The sequence below is a fragment of the Homo sapiens genome, chromosome 6 (assembly GCF_000001405.40).
Source record: "Homo sapiens chromosome 6, GRCh38.p14 Primary Assembly".
Classification (NCBI taxonomy): domain Eukaryota; kingdom Metazoa; phylum Chordata; class Mammalia; order Primates; family Hominidae; genus Homo; species Homo sapiens.
Window position 1 is genome coordinate 152,724,987 of NC_000006.12, and position 22,803 is coordinate 152,747,789.

Here is a 22,803-nt window from a genome sequence, read left to right on the forward strand (position 1 = left end):
ATAATGGCTATCTAAAAAAATAGAGGAAATTTGAAATAAATGTTTAGCAAATCTATGAAATAGGAAAGGGGTACTTTTTAAGAGCCAAAGGGATGAAATAAATTACAAAGGAAAATATTAACAGTTTTGATTATTTAAAAAAATTTAAAATTCTGTTCATTAAAAGATAAATTTATCCAAAATCTAAAACAAGCAAAAACAAAAAAAGAAGAAAGAAGTTAAGTTAATATAAATATGGCAAAAATGGCCAATATCTTGAAGTCATGATTAGCACACATAAATACATATGGAAAATACTCAGTTGTAAATAGATAAATTAGTAATGGACCAAAACAAGCAATTCACCAAAGAGAAAAATTAATTGATTTACAAGTTTGTGGTAAAATACTGCATGTTACTACTAAGAAAGTGCCCATGTACATTTAAACAACACTCTAGTAGTTTTTTCTATCACATTAGCTAATTATTATTATTATTTGAATAAAGACGGTGTTTTGCCAAGTTGGCCAGGCTGGTCTCAAACTCCTGGCTTCAAGAGATCCGCCCACCTCAGCTTCCCAAAGCACTGAGATCACAGGTGTGAGCCACCATGCCCGGCCCACAATAGCTAACTATTTATGAAATAATGAATCTCCTCACTGCTGGCAAATGTACTAAGAAGGGAGTGCTCCTACATATTTCTGGTGGCAAGGTAAACTGGCATTGCCCTTTTGGAAGGCAGTTTGATGAAATGTATCAGGAGTCTTGCACTAGGCAGACCACGAAGTCTCCTAGCACCTGCCAGGTACACGGTTTTCTCTGAGAAAAGTGGCGATGAACTTGTATGGAGACCAAGCCTGCTATACTAGCCATGTGGGACTGGATCAGAGCATTCCGTATCAGATGTGAGTAACCGACCGAACTAGATCTTCCCTGCTTTGTGTGAGAGGGTGGGGATGAAGGGAGAGAATGGGAGAACTGCCACTGAGAGACCTCGAAGGGAAAGGAGAGACGAAAATAACAAAGACCTGGAGTAAAATGGCTGCAGTATCTTTTGAATAAACTTCCATTACTTAAGATTACTCATATCTTTTTACAATGTTACAACTTGAAATAAATTCACCCGAGTACCAGTTCAAAGAAAGTGATGGCCGGGCGCGGTGGCTCACGCCTGTAATCCCAGCACTTTGGGAGGCCGAGGCGGGCAGATCACCTGAGGTCAGGAGTTTGAGACCAGCCTGACCAACATGGAGAAACCCTGTCTCTACTAAAAATACAAAATTAGCCAGGCCGTGGTGGCACATGCCTGTAATCCCAGCTACTCAGGAGGCTGAGGTAGGAGAATCGCTTGAACCTGGGAGGCAAAGGTTACAGTGAGCCGAGATTGTGCAATTGAATTCCAGCTTGGGCAAGAAGAACAAAACTCTGTCTAAAAAAAAAAAAAAAAAGAGAATGGCTGATGATAAATAGACCCTCACAGTCTAGACACTGGGATAGTTCTACCCTCACCCAGGCAAGTGGGACCCATGCCTCATGGGGCCCCACACTTCAGATTACCTTCTTTGAAGTTTTCTAAATCACAGTTCGGTGTGTAGAACTGGCCAGGACTGGCAATGCCAACTGGACAGGGCACATGAGCCTATACACCAAGACCTGTGTGGATGCTAGTCCTTTTTTATTTTTTTCGTTCCCTTTCAGGTGATCTTTGACCCGTATCTAGCATGTCAGGTCAACCAGCTATCTCAGAAGCTCTCCAGGACTTTTATCTATGCGGTCTCTGTGATTGAACCCCAGTTTCAGGAGGACAGCCTGGCAATCAGGTCACTGCTGCTGATGGGAGTGTATTTCTTTCACAGAATCACATGATACTGGACAGCCAGAATGGTACTGCCATGCTGATCTGGGGTGACTTTAACTCAGAATGAAGAATCTCTGGGTAATAACTATCTAAGTACTTCTTCTCAACTCACTTAAAATATTTATGGAGGCCGGGCGCGGTGGCTCATGCCTGTAATCCCAGCACTTTGGGAGGGCTGGAGTTTGAAACCAGCCTGGCCAAGATGGTGAAACCTTGTCTCTACTAAAAATAAAGAAAATTAGCCAGGCATGGTGGCGGGCGCCTGTAGTCCCAGCTACTCGGGAGGCTGAGGCAGGAGAATCGCTTGAACCTGGGAGGCAGAGGTTGCCGTGAGCCGAGATCGCACCACTGCACTCCTGCCTGGGTGACAGAGTGAGACTCAGTCTCAAAAAAAAAAAAAAAATATGGAAAGATCACTAAACCTCATTTGTGCCCATGAATTTTGTAAAACATTTTTAACTAATTTTTAAAATACAAGATAAGGCCCTGCAAAAAATATTTGTCCAGGGCCTCACACACTGTAGCTCTGTCCCTGTGCTGAGATGATATGGGGAGACACAAAGTATGAGCCTAATGTGATTTGAAAAGCAAGTAGTCCATACTTTGTTGTGGTAAAATTCTGATCATCTCTCATCCTTGTGTTATAGACATTGTGTCTGTAACCACAGAAGAGCTTAGAATATTGTAGCTATAGCTTGAGAGTGGTTCTGAGAGTTGAAGCCATGCTGGAAGAACAGATTTAATGAGATCTTCATTGTGGTGTAAGTAAAATAGAGAACGGCCATGCAAGTGCACTAGCATATGTGGTGGCTTTTGTAAGGTATGTTGGGGAAAGGATAGATGCAAGTTCCAAAATGCCTGACCAGGAGCTAGAGCTGCAGGGCCAGCAGGTGTCACTGCTGCCAGTGACAAATCCCTGCTCCCAATGGCTGTCACTCTGACACTACTGAAAAGCTACAGCAGAAATGGACACCTTTATGAACTGTGGGATTCTCAGAGTGCCAGGGACTCAGGGACTTCAAGACTGGGGAGAGTCTTTATTGAAAAATCAGGCTTCAGGCCGGGTGTGGTGGCTCACGCCTGTAATCCCAGCACTTTGGTAGACGGAGACGGGCAGATCACTTGAGGTCAGGAATTCGAGACCCGCCTAGCCAACATGATGAAACGCCGTCTCTACTCAAAATACAAAAATTAGCCAGGCGTGGTGGTGTGGGCCTGTAATCCCAGCTACTTGGGAGGCTGAGGCAGGAGAATCCCTTGAATCTAGAAGGCAGAGGTTGCAATGAGCCGAGATCATGCCACTGCACTCCAGCCTGGGCAACAGAGTGAGCCTCTGTCTGGAAAAAAAAAAAAAAGGAAAAAGCAGGCTTCATAGGTAAGCCTCTGCTTAGCTAAAATAGAGAACAAGAGGGCTGAAACTTAAATTAGATTACTGACTACAGTTGGGCAGGAAGAATGGGCAATGGGTGCCATTAAGTAACAGAAGTCAAACAGCCAAATGGTCAATGAGAATCTGAGAGTATAGGACTGTAGGGTATGATGGGAGTAGCCTAAGGTATTTGTTCAAAGCTGAGGAGCAAATTGAGGGAAAAAAATTCACAAAATGCATGACAAGGAGTTAATCCTTTTACATAAAGAGCTCACAGGATCAATGGGAAAAATCGTTGTAAGAAAGAAATTAAGAAATTCACTGGTGAAAATGAACATAAAGAATTCTAAGTAGAAAAAAAAAACCTTTAACAACACTGAAAGTGGAAAAACTAAAAACTCCTATTAAGAATTCACAAAGAGGCAGGGCGTGGTGGCTCATGCCTGTAATCCCAGTACTTTGGGAGTGTGAGGCAGGAGGATCACTTGAGCTCAGGAGTTTGAGACCAGCCTGGGCAACATAGCAAGACCTCATCTCTACTAAAAATCAAAAAACTAGCCAGGCTTGTAATCCCAGCTACTCGGGAGGCTGTATTCCCAACTACTTGGGAGGTTGAGGTGAGGGCATAGCTTGAGCCCAGGGGGTTGAGGCTTCAGTGAGCTGTGATCGTGCCACTGTACTCTAGCCTGGGTGACAGAGTGAGACCCTGTCTCAAATAAATAGATAATAAATTAATTAAAAAGAATTCACAAAGAATAGCAACAGAATACAGTCAAATTTTGATGATTGACAAGGATATCAAGAATCAAGAACAACATGTGCTTTCCAGCTTAGGGACACGGTGTGATTTGTGGAGAATGAGTTAAGTGGACAAAACTGTCATCTCTCTGAATATCCAGTTTGGAGAAACACTCATGTTTTGAAGCAATTAGGAATAGAATTTTTCAAATTAAGGAAAAGAACTCTAACAATATCTGAAAACCGCTATAAAAATTCTATGCAAAGCTATAAGTATTGACTCACACTGATGCTAGGCGCGAATGTTCTTTGGAATTTTAACTACACTAATATTATTACTAGGATTGTTAGTTTTGGTTAGTGCTCCAGTGACAAATTTCCACAGGTTTTTTTTTTTAAGTGGTTTGTCTTTAACCTTATTTTTCTATAAGCCCTGCTATTTTTAGCTCTTGGTTTTGTACAACCTGAGGAATACATATACAGTGTCACAACAAAAACATAAACACCTAAGTCTGTATACATAAGTATGAAAAATTTCAAAAGTTAAATGATTGCTCTTACATATGAATGTCTTATCACCAAAGTAGCTTGCTGAATGTCTTATCACCAAATCATCGAAGTATAATGCAAAGAACCAAGCTGAAATCCAAGGTACAGCTGCCACACAATTCAGGAACATTTCGTGGTAGGATGAAATTGGCCGCAGTTAGAAAAACACAAATTAAGGAAGAAACTGCAGAGTCAAAACTCAGACTGCAGACTCCCCCTGCTTTATCCAGTTGGTGTGCTGAATATTCAAGCCTACATATTTAAACCTTGTGATCTGCTGAGCAGCTACACCACAGGTGCTCAACAGACCAAAAGGGTCTGAGGGAAACAAGGGATTCCACCACATTCTAACTGGGCAAATGGCAGACTTGGGTAGATCCAGTGGCCTTTGCAAAGTGTTTTGGGGTAGGGATCCAGACAGAGTCAGGCAAATATCTTCCAGATGGCTCAAACTATAAAAAGTAAAATTTAAAAGCCCCTTTCTTCAACATGGAAAGAAAGGAATTAAACTAACCCTCAGAGAGAGGCAGTAAAATGTAGATGTGCCAATCACATTGAAATTCTTAATGTAACCAGGCAGCTTAACTTCAAAATGCATTTTAAAACTTGTATTTTTCTTTTTCTTGGATTTCAAGATATAACCTTGCAGCAAACTGCAGAAGCATTTTCCTTAGCCTTAAAATAGATTCCATGTTCTACCCTTTCTCACCATATATACTCCCTTCACATTTATCTAACTGTATGCTAGCATCTAATTATGTGCCATCTTAGAAGTTCCAAGGGCCAATCTTCAGACGGAAAGTCCAAATCTGGACCCAGGTGCAAAATTCCAGAGATTACTTCAAAGTGGCTAGTCAACAACTTGGCCATTGTCGAAATGACACCAGCCCATGCTCCCCGGTGGATTGAAACCCAAGATAGCCACTGGAACAAGATACACAGACATTGTACTCCGCACAATTTTTGCGTGCCATCCATTATCAAGTTTTCCCTTTTTAAGCCCTTGGCTTGCCCCTCAAAATTGAAGTGGTTGCTTTGGATGGGAATCTGGCCATGTCTCCATTACTACTTTTGTTTAATAAAATGACTTTCTACCAGACCTTACTCTTGTTAATTGGATTTTGCGAGTGGGAAGCAACCAGACTTGCATTTGGTTACATTGGTCCCTGCAGTCCCTGAAGCCTAGCTATTGAATATCTCTCTTTCCTTCATAGGTAATGAAATCTTTATTGGAATCTACTAGATACCACAATCACCTTTTATAAAATTTTCATTTTTATATAAACAACATTAGATTAGGTCACAATAACTTGCTGAAAAGATTTCTAACCAATACAGGGATTCAATATATACTGCTTTATTTCTGAAGCTGATAAATTGAGAAATATGTGTCTAAGCATATTATCTGAAATTATATTAGCAACTGCTGGCAAAATTAAATATAGATGATCTCTTTTGGGAAAATAGGCATGTAGACAAATAAAGCACAGGTTATACAACAAATGGTAGAAACAGAAAATAATAATGAAAACAAAAATTTAAAGCATAAGATATCAGAATTAAAATAGATTACTGTCTTTATAAAAATAAAAATGAGACACACACACATACACAAGACAGAAGACATCTTTTCAATCAAAAAATCCTACCTTCAAGTCAATAAATCTTGCCTAAAGTGAAGTGGCTCAGAAAATGTGAAAGTAAAAGGGCAGGCAAAAGTATGTTAGTGTGTACCTAGCGTGAAAAAAAAGTCGGGCAAGATGAAATATGTGAAATAGGACAAAGAATATTACTTTAAATTTTTTGTGTGTGTTTAATTAAATTTTTATTTATTATATCATTGCTAATCTAATAGATTGTACATGGTAGCTCAAAGCGGTTTTAGTTTGCATTTCTCTATTTTTTTTATACTTTAAGTTCTAGGGTACATGTGCACAACATGCAGGTTTGTTACATATGTATACATGTGCCATGTTGGTGTGCTGCACCCGTTAACTCGTCATTTACATGAGGTATATCTCCTAATGCTATCCCTTCCCCCTCCCGCTATCCCACGACAGGCCCTGGTGTGTGGTGTTCCTCACCCTGTGTCCAAGTGTTCTCATTGTTCAATTCCCACCTATGAGTGAGAACATGCGGTGTTTGGTTTTCTGTCCTTGCGATAGTTTGCTCAGAATGATGGTTTCTAGCTTCATCCATACTTTAAATTATTGAAGAGCCCACTCCCAGTGAGGTATAAAGCATCACGAGTAAGCATCAGAGAACGCCATTTTTTTTTTTTTTTTTGAGACCGGGTATCTCCATGTTGTCCAGGCTGGAGTGCAGTGGCGCGATATCAGCTCGCTGCTACCTCTGCATCCCAGGCTCAAGCTATCCTCCCACCTCAGCCTCCCAAATAGCTGGGACTATAGGGCACATGCCACCACACCTGGCCAATTTTTATATTTTTTATAGAGATGAGGTTTCACCATGTGGCCTCGGCTGCAGAAATGACTTTATAAAACAAACTACAGAGTGAAGGATGCAAAAGAATATACAAGTAAGTTTGGAAGGCTTATTTGTGGATAAGAAGTCTAACATTTTAAGATAGTTTATACCCAAATTAATTTATAATTCAATGTGATGAAAGACAGAATTCTGACATACAGACTTTTGTTTTGTTTTTTATATTTGCTTTTGTTTGTCTTTTAACTTAGATGAAGATAAAATGTCATGTGGAAATAAAACTTAAGAAACAATGTCATCAAAATTCTGACAAAGAAAAGTAACAGAAGATCCTCGGCCTAACAGATATTAAACTGGTCTTAAAGCTAAAATAAAAATTAAAAGTCATGCAAATCAACAGAAGAAAATAAATAATACTAAAATAGAACTAGGCATATATGGGAAATTAGTTATGATGAGAGTTGAATTTTCAACAAATTAAGACAATTGATTAATTAATGTTTGGGAGAAAATTAGCTGTAGAGAAAAGTCTCTGATTCAAAATAAGTTCAAAATGGAAAAAGAATGTAAACAAAAAATGAAATAGCGGCATGCAATAAAAATACATAAATATGTAAAAATATTTACATGGGAAAAACTTTTCTAAACTAGTCTTTGAACAATGTAATTTCAGATTCTTTTAATTTTGAAATTAGTTTTTAAAAAACTAAAGTTTTCAAATATAGATTCAAAACAATTAGGATTTATTATAAGTGTGTAGTATTTATTTATTACAGCAAGTGGCCTTATAAGAAAGGCAGAGGAAGATTTGGCACAGACACAAAGAAGAGAAGGTGATGTGAAAATGGGACAGAAAGAGATTTCTAGAAATACTGATCTTGAATATTGGAGTGAAGCAGCCACAAGCCAAGGAATGCCAGACCCTGTCAGAACATGGAAGATGCAAGGAATGGATGCTCTTGTGCAGAACCTTAAGGTGAGCTAAAGTTAAAACATTAGCGCCTTCTCACAGCCTTCCTGGGCATACACATGGCCCTTCACATGTATGTGGGTTTCTAGATTCCCCAGGAATATGTCAGAGCTTTTCCCTATAGACACTTCATTTTTTATTTTTGTGTGTTTGGTTTTGTTTTTATTTGTTTTTTATTTTGTTTTGTTTGCTTGTTCTTTTGTTTGTTTTTTTGTTTCTTTGTTTTTGAGACAGTGTCTCACTCTGTCACCCAGGTTGGAGTACAGTGGCATGATCTCAGTGCACTGCAACCTTCACCTCCTGGGCTCAGGTGATCCTGCCACATCAGCCTCCAGAGAGGCTGGGATGACAGACGCATGCCACCATGCCTGGCTAATTTTTGTATTTTTTGTAGACATGGGGTTTTACCATGTTGCCAGGCTGTTCTCAAACTCCTGAGCTCAAGCAATCTGCCTGCCTTGGCCTCCCAAAATGCTGGGATTACAGGCATAAGCCACCATGCCTGGCCTTCCACGGTTTTCTTAAACATTTTTTGCTCAGCCTCTTTCTACTCCAACTGGTGTCTCTTTATCAGGCAGCTACAAAATCAAACAGTTGCTGCTGACTGTTTTTAACAAGTGCCTTGGAGGAAAAAGGGAGCTTTCCACCTAGTGAGCTCTGAATGAAGTTATATAAAGACAATCCCTGTGAATGGGGTTTTCAAGAAGTTGCTAGTCAGGTCAAATAGTGACTACTGCTGAGGCATGGAGCTTTTTAAAGAAGCTCTAACCCATTTTGACTTCTCTGATGACTGTTAGGCTGTTGGTTTCTGTAAGCCTGATGATTTTCATGGCTACCTTGGAGCTGGCAAGAAGGACTTGGGAATAGGCAAGTTAAAATGTCACTAAGGTCTCTGTTCTTAACAAGATTCAGTTGCTTTTCTTGAATAAATGCTCCTCAAGTTGTCACAAGTCTTCAGTTAATTTCCAGAGTACTGAACAAGTTGCTTTTTCTTTTGCCATTTATTTCCACTGTTTTTATGGCAGAAAAAATGTTCAGAAGACCTTATCCCATCACTCCATAAGTGCTTCTGCTTGTTAACATTTTGGCATACAGACAGTCTTGCCTCTTAAAGTCTACTGGCACAAAGAGCCAGGTCTTAAAAATTAAAAACAGTCCATCAATCCTTCACCAGAATACTGTGGTGATTTCTCCTGTCTCTGCTTTTCTTATGCTGTGAAATGAAATGTGGGATTCAAGACTATCCTTTAGAGGTAGATGATTGCTTTTAAGAGCATACTCTTCCTCAATCATAAGTATCTTGTGAGACCAGATTGTGGAATTCCTACTGATGGTTAAAAGGTTCCCACATCATATCTCAGTTTTAAAACAGGAACTATATTATTCTAAGGATTTCAGTCCTCCAACTCTTCAGAATAAATCTCCGACTTCATGAAACTTATTTCTGGTTAAGCGCAAAACTTATGGTTCAAATTCCTCCCCAAAAGTTTCGGAAGTGAGGAGATGCTCATGTGTGTTAAACACCAAAGGCAACTGTGTTGCTTGGAAAAACTGCAATGTTGGTGTTTAGACACTTCCATTCACCTGCCTGGAAGGGAACATAGTCATGAGCAGTATTCTTTCTGGGTGGAAATAAGAGGTGGGAGCTGCGTGCAGTGACTCATTTGTCCTTTCTCTTTCCCTATGTGCATGCATGCTTTTCCACAGATTATAACTCATGGAAATTCTCATTGGAAAAGACACTTCAGTAACATTTCCCACATGCTTTGACATTTTTTTTTTTAGGAAAATGTTTCATTCTATTAGGTTAATTCCACCCCAAGGTATTTGCATAAGTGGCGTGGGTCTGGCCTTTGACGTTATCTTCCTGAATGATCTCTGATTGCTCACTCAGGCATATTGTAGACTCTTGGTCTCATTGAATCTTGTGCTATCTTTACCAAATCAAATCTGTAAAGTTCACTGGCAATTTAATGTATTGTTTTTGAGTCATCTTGACATTTTGACTTCTTAAGTGTAAACTGAAAAATGCATTTACTGGAAATTTGGAAATTTGTTTTTTAAAATAAAACAACATATGCCAGATCCCTAATCTACAGATGATTTATAAAATCAGGCAATGCTTATGAGGTAATGCTGCTGAAAGAAGGTTTCTAAAAAGGAAATTTATCTCCAATGTTTCTAAAGCACATAAAAGAACAAGACTGTTTTTAACAGGAGAATAAAACATACAAAGAAGGGTGTAAATTATTAGGATATCATCCAGTTTTTTTGTAAGGCAGGTAGAGAGGAGGCTCAAATGCTAAAAGGGTAAAAATATTTAGTTTAGCATTGTTGAAAGAACTGGAGAAGATTGTCTTTATTTCAAAGTTGTAAATATTATAAATAGATAAACTTTTTGGTAAGTGAGCCTTTATTAAGAAATCAATGCATATTGGTTTGAATTGGTAGAACCTTTGGATATTTCATAATAAATAAGATCTTATTTTGTAGTAATATTGAAATTTGAAATTTTCCTAGTAGATACTTTTTATTATTAACTTAAGTAGTCTAGAGTTAATTCTTGCTACCGAATTGGATCACCATATGATGAATTCTGTCACTACATTTATATTAAACATTTAGCTATATCCATGGACATTGATGTTTAGAGGTAAACAAAATGCCTAAATAGAGGTGAAGAGGAACTCCAAATATGCTTACCTCATGCATTCTAAAGTTTAGAAGTTTTGGCAACTGAGATTTTGCAATCACCAATGGATCACAGAAATTGACAAGATAATTGTTATTACTCTTTTCTGTTTTAATATAAATTTTCTAAAGTATTATAACATTTTGAAATAGAAAGTTTAAAATATTTGTTTACTTAATTTCAGAATTAAGTATTTAATTAATTGCTGACTTTGATGAGATCAGGCACACTCAGGGTGGTATAGCCATAGATGAATTGCTTACTTTGAATGAAATTGAATGTAAAGGAATGTAACAGTTAAAAGAAAAAAGCCCTTTTTTTCTTCATTTTATTCTTTCATTCCATCTTTTATTTCTTTCCTCTTTGCATTGTTATATGATATTTATAAAAGGGGTTCTAAACAAGATAACAAAAATATAAAGTAGATGATAGAGTTGGGGCCAAGGGGAAGCAAAGTGGAGCCAGTAATAAGGTTAGTGCTAAAAACCAGAGTCTTACATCGTTAAAACCAACAAAGGGCCATGGATTTAGCTCTTAGCTTTTTAGCTGTGCACTTAATGAAAGGAATAGGAACAGATATATATTCACAGAGCTCATAAGATAAAGACAAATTATTCATTCCAGAGCACAGTGAGTTCTGATTTTAGGTCCTAACAATATTTGAATTTTATCATAAAAAGGATCCTGTGTGATGCAATGAACAAATTACTAAGTAATACCCTTAGGATAAATACAGCAAGGAATTTTATGTGGATGTGTCTTAATTTAGGGAGTTGTCATCATGACAGAAAAAAAATCAGTGAAAATAATCCTGTTGAGTCAAACCCCACCATATCAATGAGGCAGGATTCACTTCCGTGGTCCTGTGAGGGGACTATTAGAGTATCTGGAGAAAACTTCCTGACCAGGTTCAAGACCCCAAAGGGAATCGATAAATTTTGAAAGAGAGCTCTAGGAAATCCTGTAAATTGTGTACATCGGTGGGTGTATAAGGTCATGGATGCATTTTTCTGAAAACAGGGTTTGCATTTTTTAACAAAAGAAACTTTGCCTTAGAAAAGGTTGAGAGAAAAGAATAGGCTGCACATCCATTATTAATACACTTTTTTTTAAAAAAAGAAATTCGTGAACATGCATGATCATTAGTTTTGAGAGTGTGCTCCATGCTTACTTCTCGGAATAAAAAATTTCTGTATGACACATTAAAGAATAAAAACATATGCTGTAAGAATCAGTCAACAAGGGTGGTTTGTACTTCCTCTTAAGAAAGTTGACATGCTGATTTAGTGCTAATTGGTAGAGAACCCTGCTTCATATATGTTTGGAAGTAAGCACAGGGTATATTCCTAGGAAAGATATAGATCTTAACAGAAAATGATGTTGTGAGCCTTCCAAATGAAATTACAAAACTTTGAGTTTTTATCATGTAGTGTGTTAATAAGTTTAACACAAGTATTTTTAAAGCAGATATAACCAAAAGCTTATCTTGAACATTACAAAAGAAAGAGTTGAATAAGACACTCATAGACTGTCTGGCTTTGAGCAATGCAATTTCCTGGAACAATATACTAAGATAAATTGCTTGCAAAATGTACTTCTCTGTAACTGAATGAGATACCTTGCTGAATGGGGTTGTTAGCTATAAATAAATTAAAAGTTTTTTTTTTTCTGGCAATAAAGAGTTTGAAGTAGAAGCTTCTTAAGGTCTTGGCTAGATCATGAGAATAAAATTACTATGCATCTTATGTATGTGTGTGTTTATATATAAATTAAGATTTAGTATTATATATTGTATATTAAGAAAAATATTGGAGATATCTATATCTATTTCTAAAGTCTCCCAGAGAGATTGGATAACTTGCATAAGGTCTTATACTGTATTTATGTGGTGGAGCTGGGATTCAAGCAAGGGCAGTGCAGCTCCAGAACACCTGTCTTAGCCATTACACTATGCTCCCTCTATGTACAATAATATGATCATACTATTTGCTTGTGAAGGAATGTTCACTCTCCACTGTCTGTGAAAGGGATCTAGGTGGGGAACAAGGCATCATCTATTTCATTCAAAATGCTATTAAGTCATAAAAGAACAAGTTATTGTGAATGAAAGAATAAACCCTCTTATTTACTACTAGAAATCAGTAACTGCTCTTTCAAGACCTGGTATAATGCATATGTTGTTTAAGGTTTCACAATTAAGAGGCATCCAGAGCAGCTAATATAATAGCTGTATCTCTTCATTTAGTCAATGACTGTTGAAGTGTAGGAAGTATTGTTTCACTTGTACAAAATTAAAGAGTTTATTTAAGTGATTTATTTTCTTCTCTCAGTTTCTCCAGCCAGCTTTATGACTCTTTGCACCAGTTGACATAGCAATTCTATTTCTAGGAATTTATCCCAATCAAATAATTTAAGGAAAGCAAAAAGCCATATTCATGAAGATATCTAGAATATCTTTATTTGTAACAGAAAATAAGAAAACATTAGTGGGGAAAACCATGGGTCTTACATTAAGGGACATAAAAACAGCTATATAAACACAAATATAAATAATTATAAAAATTCTGTAAAAGCATGGAAAATGTCTGGCTAAATGTCAAGGAAAAACAGCATTAACAACTATCATAGACATATATTTAACATGTATATAGACATGCTTTGAACATATATTATAGACATATGATTAACATCTATTATAGACATATGTTTAACATCTATTATACTTTCAGCAAGTAAAATGTATACTTGTGAAAGGAAATATGGAGAAAATGGAAATAGTTATATTGTAATAAACTTACAATTATTTTGTTGTTCTTTCCTTAATATTGTCGTTTTTATCTTCCAGTGAATTTTGCCAATTCCTTGACAAGTTCCTAGGTTTTCACTAGAGGTTTTCAGGATTTCACTGTCCATTAATGGAATTCCTACCTTTCAAATATTGGCTTCTCCACTCGTTAACTAAATGACACTCTGCCAGTTAATTAACTTCTTTATACCATATTTTTTTTCCTGCTGAATATGGAGCGAATAATGCTTACTTCATAGAGTTGTTGAGATCAAATGAGATAATGCAAATTAATCCTTAAGTTTACAGCGTTTCCCAGCACATAGTATGTGCTTAAAAGAAACAAAACAACCCAAATGGATTAGCACATTTAGCTACCATTTGTTGAGTATTCAGAAGGTTGGACTAATGTGTGAGACATTACTGTTTTAATGGTGAAAGAAAAAAATGTAATTAACATGTCAGAACAAAATTTTAGTTTTGTTTTTAAAGCCATGCTGATAAAAAATATATAATGCATCACAGAATTTTAAATATAAGGCACCATTACAGTTTTTCTAGTCTTTTAGAAACAAAGGTATTTCAATTAAATGCAGCTCAAAATCAATAATAAAAATTTGAAAAATAGAGAAGAGAATGAAAAAAAGAAAGTATTATCAATGGCATCATCCAAAATACAGCTCCTGTTAACATTTTGGGGGTTTATTTTTAGGATACACAAAGGATACTTTTAAAAAAATAAAATTATATTGGGAGTTTTATATTTCTCTTTACACTTAACACTAGAATTGGTTTCTTCGTTGCCAAATAGTTTCCCTTAAAAAAAAGCCTACATTATTTTATATTGATTGGAGATTATAATTTATTAAAATATTCTACAAGTAGTTTTTAGAATATTTTAATAAATTATAATCTGCAATCAATAGTATACCTTTTCACAATTAAAAGTAAAACTATTCTAAATATTTTTGTATTTTTTTTTGCTGTAGGATTATTTTTATTACTTCCTTAGCATAGTTTTCTAGAGATAGAATCATTGGTTTAAATTGTGAATATTTTTAATGATTTTGATATAGATTGATGTATCACATTGCCAGCAAAGAATGAAGAGAATTTAAAAATTTTGCAAGATGAGAGTTTCTATAATTTTAACTTAAGCCTCTTTCATTTTTGATCAGAGGTAATGATTTATGATGGAACATTTAACTATGTTAATTGATCATTTTAAGTTTTTATTGCATGAATTTTCTATTCATATCGTTTCTCCTTTTTTTAGGCATTTAATATTTATTACCCATTTGCAATGAATGCTTTAGGTTTAGAAAATATTAACTTTCTGTCATATATTCAAGTAAGCCCATAACTTCCTTTGCAATTTTTAATTTCACTTGAAATTTGAAATATTTTTTTAAAGTCATAAACTTGATATTCAATTCTATGTTTTAAAAAATACTAAGTTGTCAGGCAGTTTCATTTATTTGTATGTAACTCTTTAGTTTGGTGAAAATTGAATCCAATTGGCTGTTCATTTCATCTATCTGAGGAAGGTGTTTATATTCACTTCCAAGATTCTTTCTCTTTAGAATTCTTAATTCAGAGTAAGAAGCAAAAATAAAAATAAAAATACAGACTCCTTCTTAAATATTTTATATATGTATATTGTTATTGTTATTATTATTATTGTTATTATTTGCGATGGAGTTTCGCTCTTGTTGCCCAGGCTGGAGTGCAATGGTGCAATCTCAGCTCACCACAACCTCTGCCTCCCAGGTTCAAGCGATTCTCCTGCCTCAGCCTCCTGAGTGAGTAGCTGGGATTACAAGCATGCGCCACCATGCCCGGCTAATTTTGTATTTTTAGTAGAGACGGGGTTTCTCCATGTTGGTCAGGCTGGTCTTGAACTCCCAACCTCAGGGCATTGGCCCACCTCAGCCTCCCAAAGTGCTGGGACTATAGGCGTGAGCCACCGTACCAGGCCGGAAATATTATAATTATTATCCCTATCAAAAAAAGCATGATAACTTCCATTTCACTTTCTAAAAGTGCTTAGAAATTTGCTTCTTTTCTTACTGTTTAACCATATAGAATTTTTGGCAAACTGACAAAAGAGCCTTAAATAACCAAAAGTAGACATTGTACAAAAATAGAAATATAAACTTGAAAAATAAGAAGTAATAAAATAGTTCTAACTTTTATGAAGTGTTGGAAATTAAAGTATACATCTGACGTAAATGCATAATTAGTTGACACCATTTCAGTAAGTTACTCTCTTCCAAAAGAGGCTCCAGTTTGTTTTAAACAAGTACACATCTCCCAGATGAAATCCTTTTTAGGTGGAGCTGTCTTACAAGAAAGTGAGAACAAAAGGACGAATATTTTTTACTTTTGAAAAACTAATTTTTTTATATAAAAATTTACAGCGTATTTAGTTATATTTGATTTATAGATATATTTTTCTTTAGCCATAAGCACATTCTTAATAAGAATAATTGTAGAAATATGAAATTAATTTTGAAAGGTCTTTATAGGTCAAGTTTGTAAAGACAGTTAACAAAGCTGAGAGAGGAGTTTCAGGAAAACCCCAGCCACTTTTTATTTCCTGTGATAAATGTATACGAGCTATAGAATTTAAGAAGTGTGGGATAAGTATATTAAGTTCTAAAAACAATGTGAATTTCTAAATAATTTCTCCCCAATGTGATGCATTGACTTGAAGTTATTTCACAGAACAAAGAAAAAAAATCCCAACTTTGTCAATGTTTCCAGTCTAGGTAAAGTGACTAACACGTTTTGACATCGAATATGCCCATTCATGCTAAGAAAAACTCTTAAACAGTCTAAATAGAACCCCCTTTGCTTTTGAGTGAAGTGAAGATTTTAGATCCTGGAATTACTATAGAGGCTTTAAAACATTAATTGGAACTCTTTTTCACATAAGAACATTTCCAGATTGTTTTCTTTTTGCTTCAGCAAAAAGGAGGAGATTCAACATTAAGATTAAGTAATACTGGCTGCAAAAATAAACATCAAAAAAAACCTTTCCACTTTTCCACCTTGAATGTTTATTCTTATCAGCGCTCATTTGGGAGCAACTTATAATGTACCAGGTATTGGGGATATAATGATACATAAGACAGTTTCAGTAAGAGGCATAATTAAATCAATTGATTATGTAAGTGTGCTGTAGAAAATATTATCACAAAAAATACAGATAAAATGCAATAAAAGCAAGGCTGGAAAGGCATTCTAAAGGGGTAATGAATCATAGAATTTAAAAATTGTATGATTTTTATAGAAAATATTCCCTTTTCTGTTGTGAAGTTACACTATTTTTGTTTTTAACAAGACCTGGAAAAACATTTATGCATTTAAAAATACGTCCCAATATATGAATCAAGCATTATTCAGATGACTTAAAGGACTAAGAAAACGACTATCATCGAATGAAACTTAGCCTAGAGAAAAAAAGAAACATGGCTGAGAAATCTTTCAAAACAAAGCTGGTAGGATTTCAGTAATAGCCATCCTGTACAAAGACTAAGTTTTATTTGAGAATAGGAAAGAAGTATTGAACATTGGACCCAAAGAACTGAAAACTAAAACAATAAAAGTTTTTTAAAAAGACTTGAGGTCCAAACCAAATAGAGTTGAAATAAGTACAATTTCAATCTCATTCACTCGCTCATCTGAAATAGTTACTGAGCACCTATTACGTGACAGCAACATGCTTTTGCATGCTAAAAGTGTCTGGCGATGGAGGAAATGTCATTGTATGTCACTGTAGTGATCCAACATGCTCAGTGTTAGGCTGGGGGAAATACGGGGTTAAACAAGGGCCCAAAATCACAGCACCTCACCCAAATTTGATGGGAGAATGGGTTACAGTCTTTCTGGAAAAAAATGTTCTACTGTAAGCTGAGACCCGAAGGATAAAAAGAGATTGGAGTAGGTGTTTCTGAGGGAGGAAATGGTATGTGTGAAAAGCCAGAGACATGAGAGAATACGGTACTTTTGAGAACCTGAAAGTTGTTCCACGTGGCTGAGAATAGATTGTGGGTGGATGGGGAGGGGACAATGAGGGACCATTGATGAGAATAGCGTGATCCAGGCTTGCAAGCCTGTTTCCTTCAAGAGCAATAGGGAACCACAGAAAGATTATAAACAAGGGAATGATATGATCAAAGACATTTTGGGGGAAGATCACTTTAGCAGCATTATGGAAAAGAGCTTGGAAGAAAAAAGGTTGTAACTAGTGGAACCCTATTTGAGTCTATAGAAGTTGCACAGGAGAGGGAGAATGGAGGCCGGGCCTTCTTTAGTGGATCCTCAGTTTTGTCATCCAAAGAACTTGGAATCCCACATTGATTTCCCCCATCACACATAATGTATGATTGTATATGTGTAAGTATGATTGTCAGAGGCAGAGGTCATTGATACCTGTTTATACACATAAGTATGATTGTCAGAGGCAGAGGTCATTGATATCTGTTTCTAGAAACTCTGATGACTGCAAAAGTGTTTCTCATTTCCTTAGTAAGAAAAATGCCAAGAATAGTCCTTGTGAATGTAGAGAAGAAAGAAGCACCCTGTGCCTTCTCTATCTAATACTTAGGCTCAGCACTGTTTTGACAGAAAAAGCGGCTTTCTCTCTTTCCCTCCATGGCATTTCGATTATTTTGTAGTTGTTGTTGTTGTTGTTGTTTTGACAGAATCTCTCTCTGTCACCCAGGCTGGAGTGCAGTCACATGATCTCAGCTCACTGCAACCTCTGCCTCCTAGGTTTAAGCAATTCTGCTTAATTCTCCTGCCTCAGCCTCCCATGTAGCTGGGAACACAGGCATGCACCACCACGCCCGGCTGATTTTTGTATTTATAGTAGAGATAGGGTTATGCCATGTTGGTCAGGCTGGTTTTGAACTCCTGGCCTCAAGCAATCCACCTGCCTCAGCCTCTCAAAGTGCTGGGATTATAGGCATGAGCCACTGCGCCCGGCCCTTGCGTGGTATTTCTTTGAGACACCCTAAAGGCACTGCAGCCACAGAAAGGAGTGTGGACCTAGGAAGCGACTCCCCGTTAGGATGCATCTCAACAACATTTCTTTTGGTTGTCATTTGGGGTAAGAACTATTTGCAAGCAAATGTAAATCACTGGATTGAACTGCCTGTTAACATCATCACTACACATTGCTCAACCGTCCCGGTAAATCCGGAGGGTCACAGCAGCAAGGCAACCATGCCCCACTCCCCACTCTCCATGCTCTATTCTGTGGGTTTTGAATTTGCTGGCCTCACAACCCACTTGAAGAGAAAGGTGAAAGGTCCAGATCTCAGCTCCGCTACTCATTGGAAGTCACTTGCCTTTTTTCAGTTATGAAGTTGCTAAAATTTCTCAAAACAAAGTGACAGGACTAAATTACCTTAAATTCTTTCTAGCTGAAAATGATGGTTTTATGAGTCAGAAATGAGAACATTAGTGTTCCAGACTTGGAAGTACAGGGAAGTAACTACAGATACAGGATATTAGAATATATGATTAAGAAGAATGGTGATTTTAAAAGCTTATCAAATAGCTGCAGCTCCTGCTTCCTTGACAGGGAGAGTTTCTTTCCTGAGGGCCAGGCGCCAGCAGCCCTGGAGACGCAGGGCCCAGTTTGCCTCAAGTCTCCTTCCCAAGGCTACTCTACACCTCCTCACAAAGACCCCATGAGGATTTGGTGTCTGGCTTCTGGCAGCACATTGACCTTTTCTCTGCAATTGTGTCAGCAATGGATCCAGCTTCTTTTCCTGGAGGGGACTCGAGGAGCATCAAGGGCCTGAATGAACTTCTAATGTATTTGTGTTTCAGCAGCAGTCTTCAGAAATCAATTGTTCACCAATTGGACAGACCGGCTCGGGGCTAGAGTGCCCTTCCTCCAAGTTCCCACATTGATTATTTTAAGAGTTCTTCCAACTCAAATGAAAAATACCAAAAATTTTAAAACATGCAGGCCTTCTGAAGCTATCCAATCCTAAAATTAAATATTGGGTGTGGGAATGGGAGTACACTAGGAAGGGTCCAGGAAGGACTCAAGGCTCTTTCCAAAGGTGAATTGAGGAGAGTTTAATAAAGAGGTAGAATTGAGGAGAGTTTAATAAAGAGGTAGAAGTAGTGAGGTAGCGAGTAATCCATGAATGAGCCTCAGCAGGGAGCCGTTGGCCCCTCTAGGGCTGCAGGAGAGAGGCCACCCTGCAGAAACTGAATCTTGCGGGAGGAATGTAGTCTCTTCCAAGCCATGGCCTAGGGGAATAAATACCCAGAACTCTCTTTCCCTCCTCTTTGGTCCTTTCATTTCCAACCAGCACGTCTCTTTTGCTGAGCCCAGCCAGCAGCCAGAGGACCAGGGTGTGGACGATGTAGTCCATAAAGGTCAGCCTTCAAGGAAATAGAAACAGTGAAGAAGAGCAGAGAGGGTTCCCAGCAGAGGCGGGAGCTGGGGGGAGAGCCTGTGGCGTCAGATCTCTCCCAAGAGTAAGCCGAAACTCAGGGCTCCTGGGAGGTCCTCTAGGGCTGAGGCAAACTGAAAGAAACAGGTTTAGCTTTAGGGCCAAGGAATGGGTTGAAGAAGCCTAAGGTGAGGAACCAGGTGGCAAAGTTGGAGACCAGCTGGAACAACTGAAGAACAAAGAGAGGGAGGGAGACATGTGGCCTCCAGGGTCAGGGCAGGCCTCCATCCTGCCCCCGTGCTCCATTCTAGGACAAATCTCAAAGTTACCAAGCTTCGGTCCCAGGGCCTCTTTGAAACTGGTTTTAACACTAAGTAGGATATAGGGTCCCTGGCAGGCTCTTCCCAGGCAAACCATGACTATACACAATTCAAGGCCATTGTAAAGTAATGGTGAGTATATATTTTCACAGGCCACAGAGTAAAATGAACACAAAAATTTGTTTTTAAAAATGTTTACCTCTGCCAGGTGCAGTGGCTCACACCTGTAATCTTGGCGGCATGGGAGGCTGAAGCAGGAGGATCACTTGAGCTCAGGAGTTGGAGGCTGCCTTGAGCTACAGTTGTGCCACTGCCATCCAGCCTGGGTTACAGAGACAGACTCCAAGTCTAGGGGAAAAAAAGTTTAACTTGATCATTTCTAGGTAAAGGCAATACTTTTCAGATTTAAAATTCTATCATTTCAGATTTTCTGTCATTTCAAATGTTGTCTTTCAGATTTGAAAAGAGGATTTGTCTCCTCTTTTCCCTCAGAGTAGCATCTAAGCTTCTGACAGAGCAATGTGAAATCTGGGAGGCTTCCTCTGGGCACTTTGGAGATGGTCTAGGGCTGGCTGTCATCGACTGAAATATGCAGTGACATCTGGTCCCTGGGTGTGGACACCCACGCTGGCTCTTGGTAGGTTGTTTAAAACCTGTCCGTTGCTAGGCCCTTTCCACTCTTTGTTCCTTGGATGGTATTTTGGGTTTTCCTAAGCAGGGTGTGCAACTATCATCCAGGTTTGTCTCCCGTACCATTATGCAGAGTGTTTCTCCATGATTTGCTTTGTCTTATGTCAACCAGATGTGAAATGAAGCCAAGTTAGCCTCTATTGTTCAGCCCCTACACTTGATAACACAGGGTTCTGTCATCCATCCCTTCCACTCTACCATAAACTCACACCAGCTTCCCCATCTCAGAGGCTCTTCCCTGGCCTGTGGAGAATAGATGTAGTGGTAGAGGGGCCATGAGAACTCACTCAGAAAATATTCTTGCCAAATCTTCATTCTAACATCTAGACTGCAGCTTTCTTAAGGTTAAAAGCCAGAAATTAGACATGGTTGTTTTTCATTTGATCCATATAGTAAACACAGAGGGTGATTGAGTTGAAGGCTGGTTGCATGGAATGTGTACAGTCATCTCCCAACACCCCGGCAGACGCCTGAAACCACTGACAGCACCTAACCCTACATAAACCATGTATTTTCCATCTGTCAACAAATTGGCTAAGTGACTACCTGGGAGGTAGCATAGACAGCACAGATATGCTGGACAAAGGGATGATTCACATCCCAGGCTGGACTGGGCAGGATGGCAGAAGATTTCATCATGCTATTTGGAATGGCACACAGTTTAAAGCAAATAAATGGTTTATTTCTGGAATTTTCCATTAATGTTTTCAGACTGCTGTTGACCACAGGTAACTGAAATCATGGAAAGAGAAACTGCAGATAAGGGAGGACTACTCTATGTGGTGGGGGAACATATACATAAGAGATGACATTGTGAAGTAGGTAAAATTGGTTTTAAAATCTTTAATACTCTATTTTTCAACTTCCACATCTTAGTATTGTGTGTTCCTGTGATTTCTCTATACCCTTCTTTTTGAAATCTATTTTCAGGAAATCGTCTGATACATACAACCCTAATAAAGTTCGAATGACTTGCAGCACTTGCATTGTTCTTTCTACATGTAATTTGATTTGAAGCAAAAAAATTCTGAGACAAAGGAATAATTTTCTCTAAACTCAGCATCAGTAAGTGGGACAGATAACGAGGTTTTGGAGTTAAGGGAGAAGTTGTCCTCGATCATATCATTTAGATCATTATTTGTTTTGCTTTATATTTGCTGATATATTTTTAGATTCCGAAATGAATTCTAATAGGTAACTTTAAAGGGAAAATTTACCTTTATTGTAATATTATTTTCATCAAATCACTAATATGACAAGAATACAAAATCCTGAAAATAAGTTCAAATTTTCTAATTTAAAAGAATTGAAAGTGTTTATATATACTCTAATATAGATGCTTTAAATATATAAACTTTTAATATGCTATACAAATATACGTATGTATATACATCTTATGCAAATGTACACTTTTAGTAAAAGTATACATGTATATTAAATGTATGTATATATTCTGTATGTTATACATATATACATGTATAATATATTGTATAGAATATATGTATTTATGTATATATAACATATACAGTACATAATACATTATACATTAGGTATATAAAATATATATACGCAAATATATATTTCCTAATACAAGTTATTGAAAGATATTGGATTTAAGACTATTAAAGCAAACATATCATCTTAAATATCTGCCAAACAGGAGGATCTAGGGGATTGAAAAACTTTTTTTGTGAAAGATCAAATAGTAATTATTTTAACCTTTGAGAGCTGTGCAGTTTGTTGCAACTATCCAACTTTGCCGTTGTAGCACAAAAGCAGCTATAGAGAATACATATATGATGAAATGCTTTTATGTTCCAACAAAACTTTATTTATGGACACTGACGTTTAAATTATATATAAGTTTTGGCCAGGGAGGTGGCTCACACCTGTAATCACAGCACTTTGGGAGTCCGAGGCAGGCGGATCACTTGAGCTCAGGAGTTCCAGACCAAAGCCCGACCAACATGGTGGGCACCAGTGGTC

The 22,803-nt window shown here is 37.5% G+C and overlaps 1 protein-coding gene across 4 annotated transcripts in view; it reads left to right on the forward strand.

The window, feature by feature from the left end:
* The window catches only part of MYCT1 (MYC target 1), a 49,285-nt gene extending 27,090 nt beyond the window's left edge, over window positions 1-22,195 (forward strand). The window contains exons 3-5 of one of the 4 annotated variants that reach the window (XR_007059337.1): window positions 1,678-1,915; window positions 7,715-7,914; window positions 20,584-22,195. The gene's annotated coding sequence lies outside the window, so the exon portion shown is untranslated. Of the gene's footprint in view, window positions 1-1,677; window positions 3,200-7,714; window positions 7,915-20,583 lie in introns of those variants that run through there. The other 3 variants (XR_007059339.1, XR_007059338.1, NM_001371624.1) reach the window with 3 other exon arrangements.
* The last annotated feature ends 608 nt before the right edge of the window (window positions 22,196-22,803 follow it).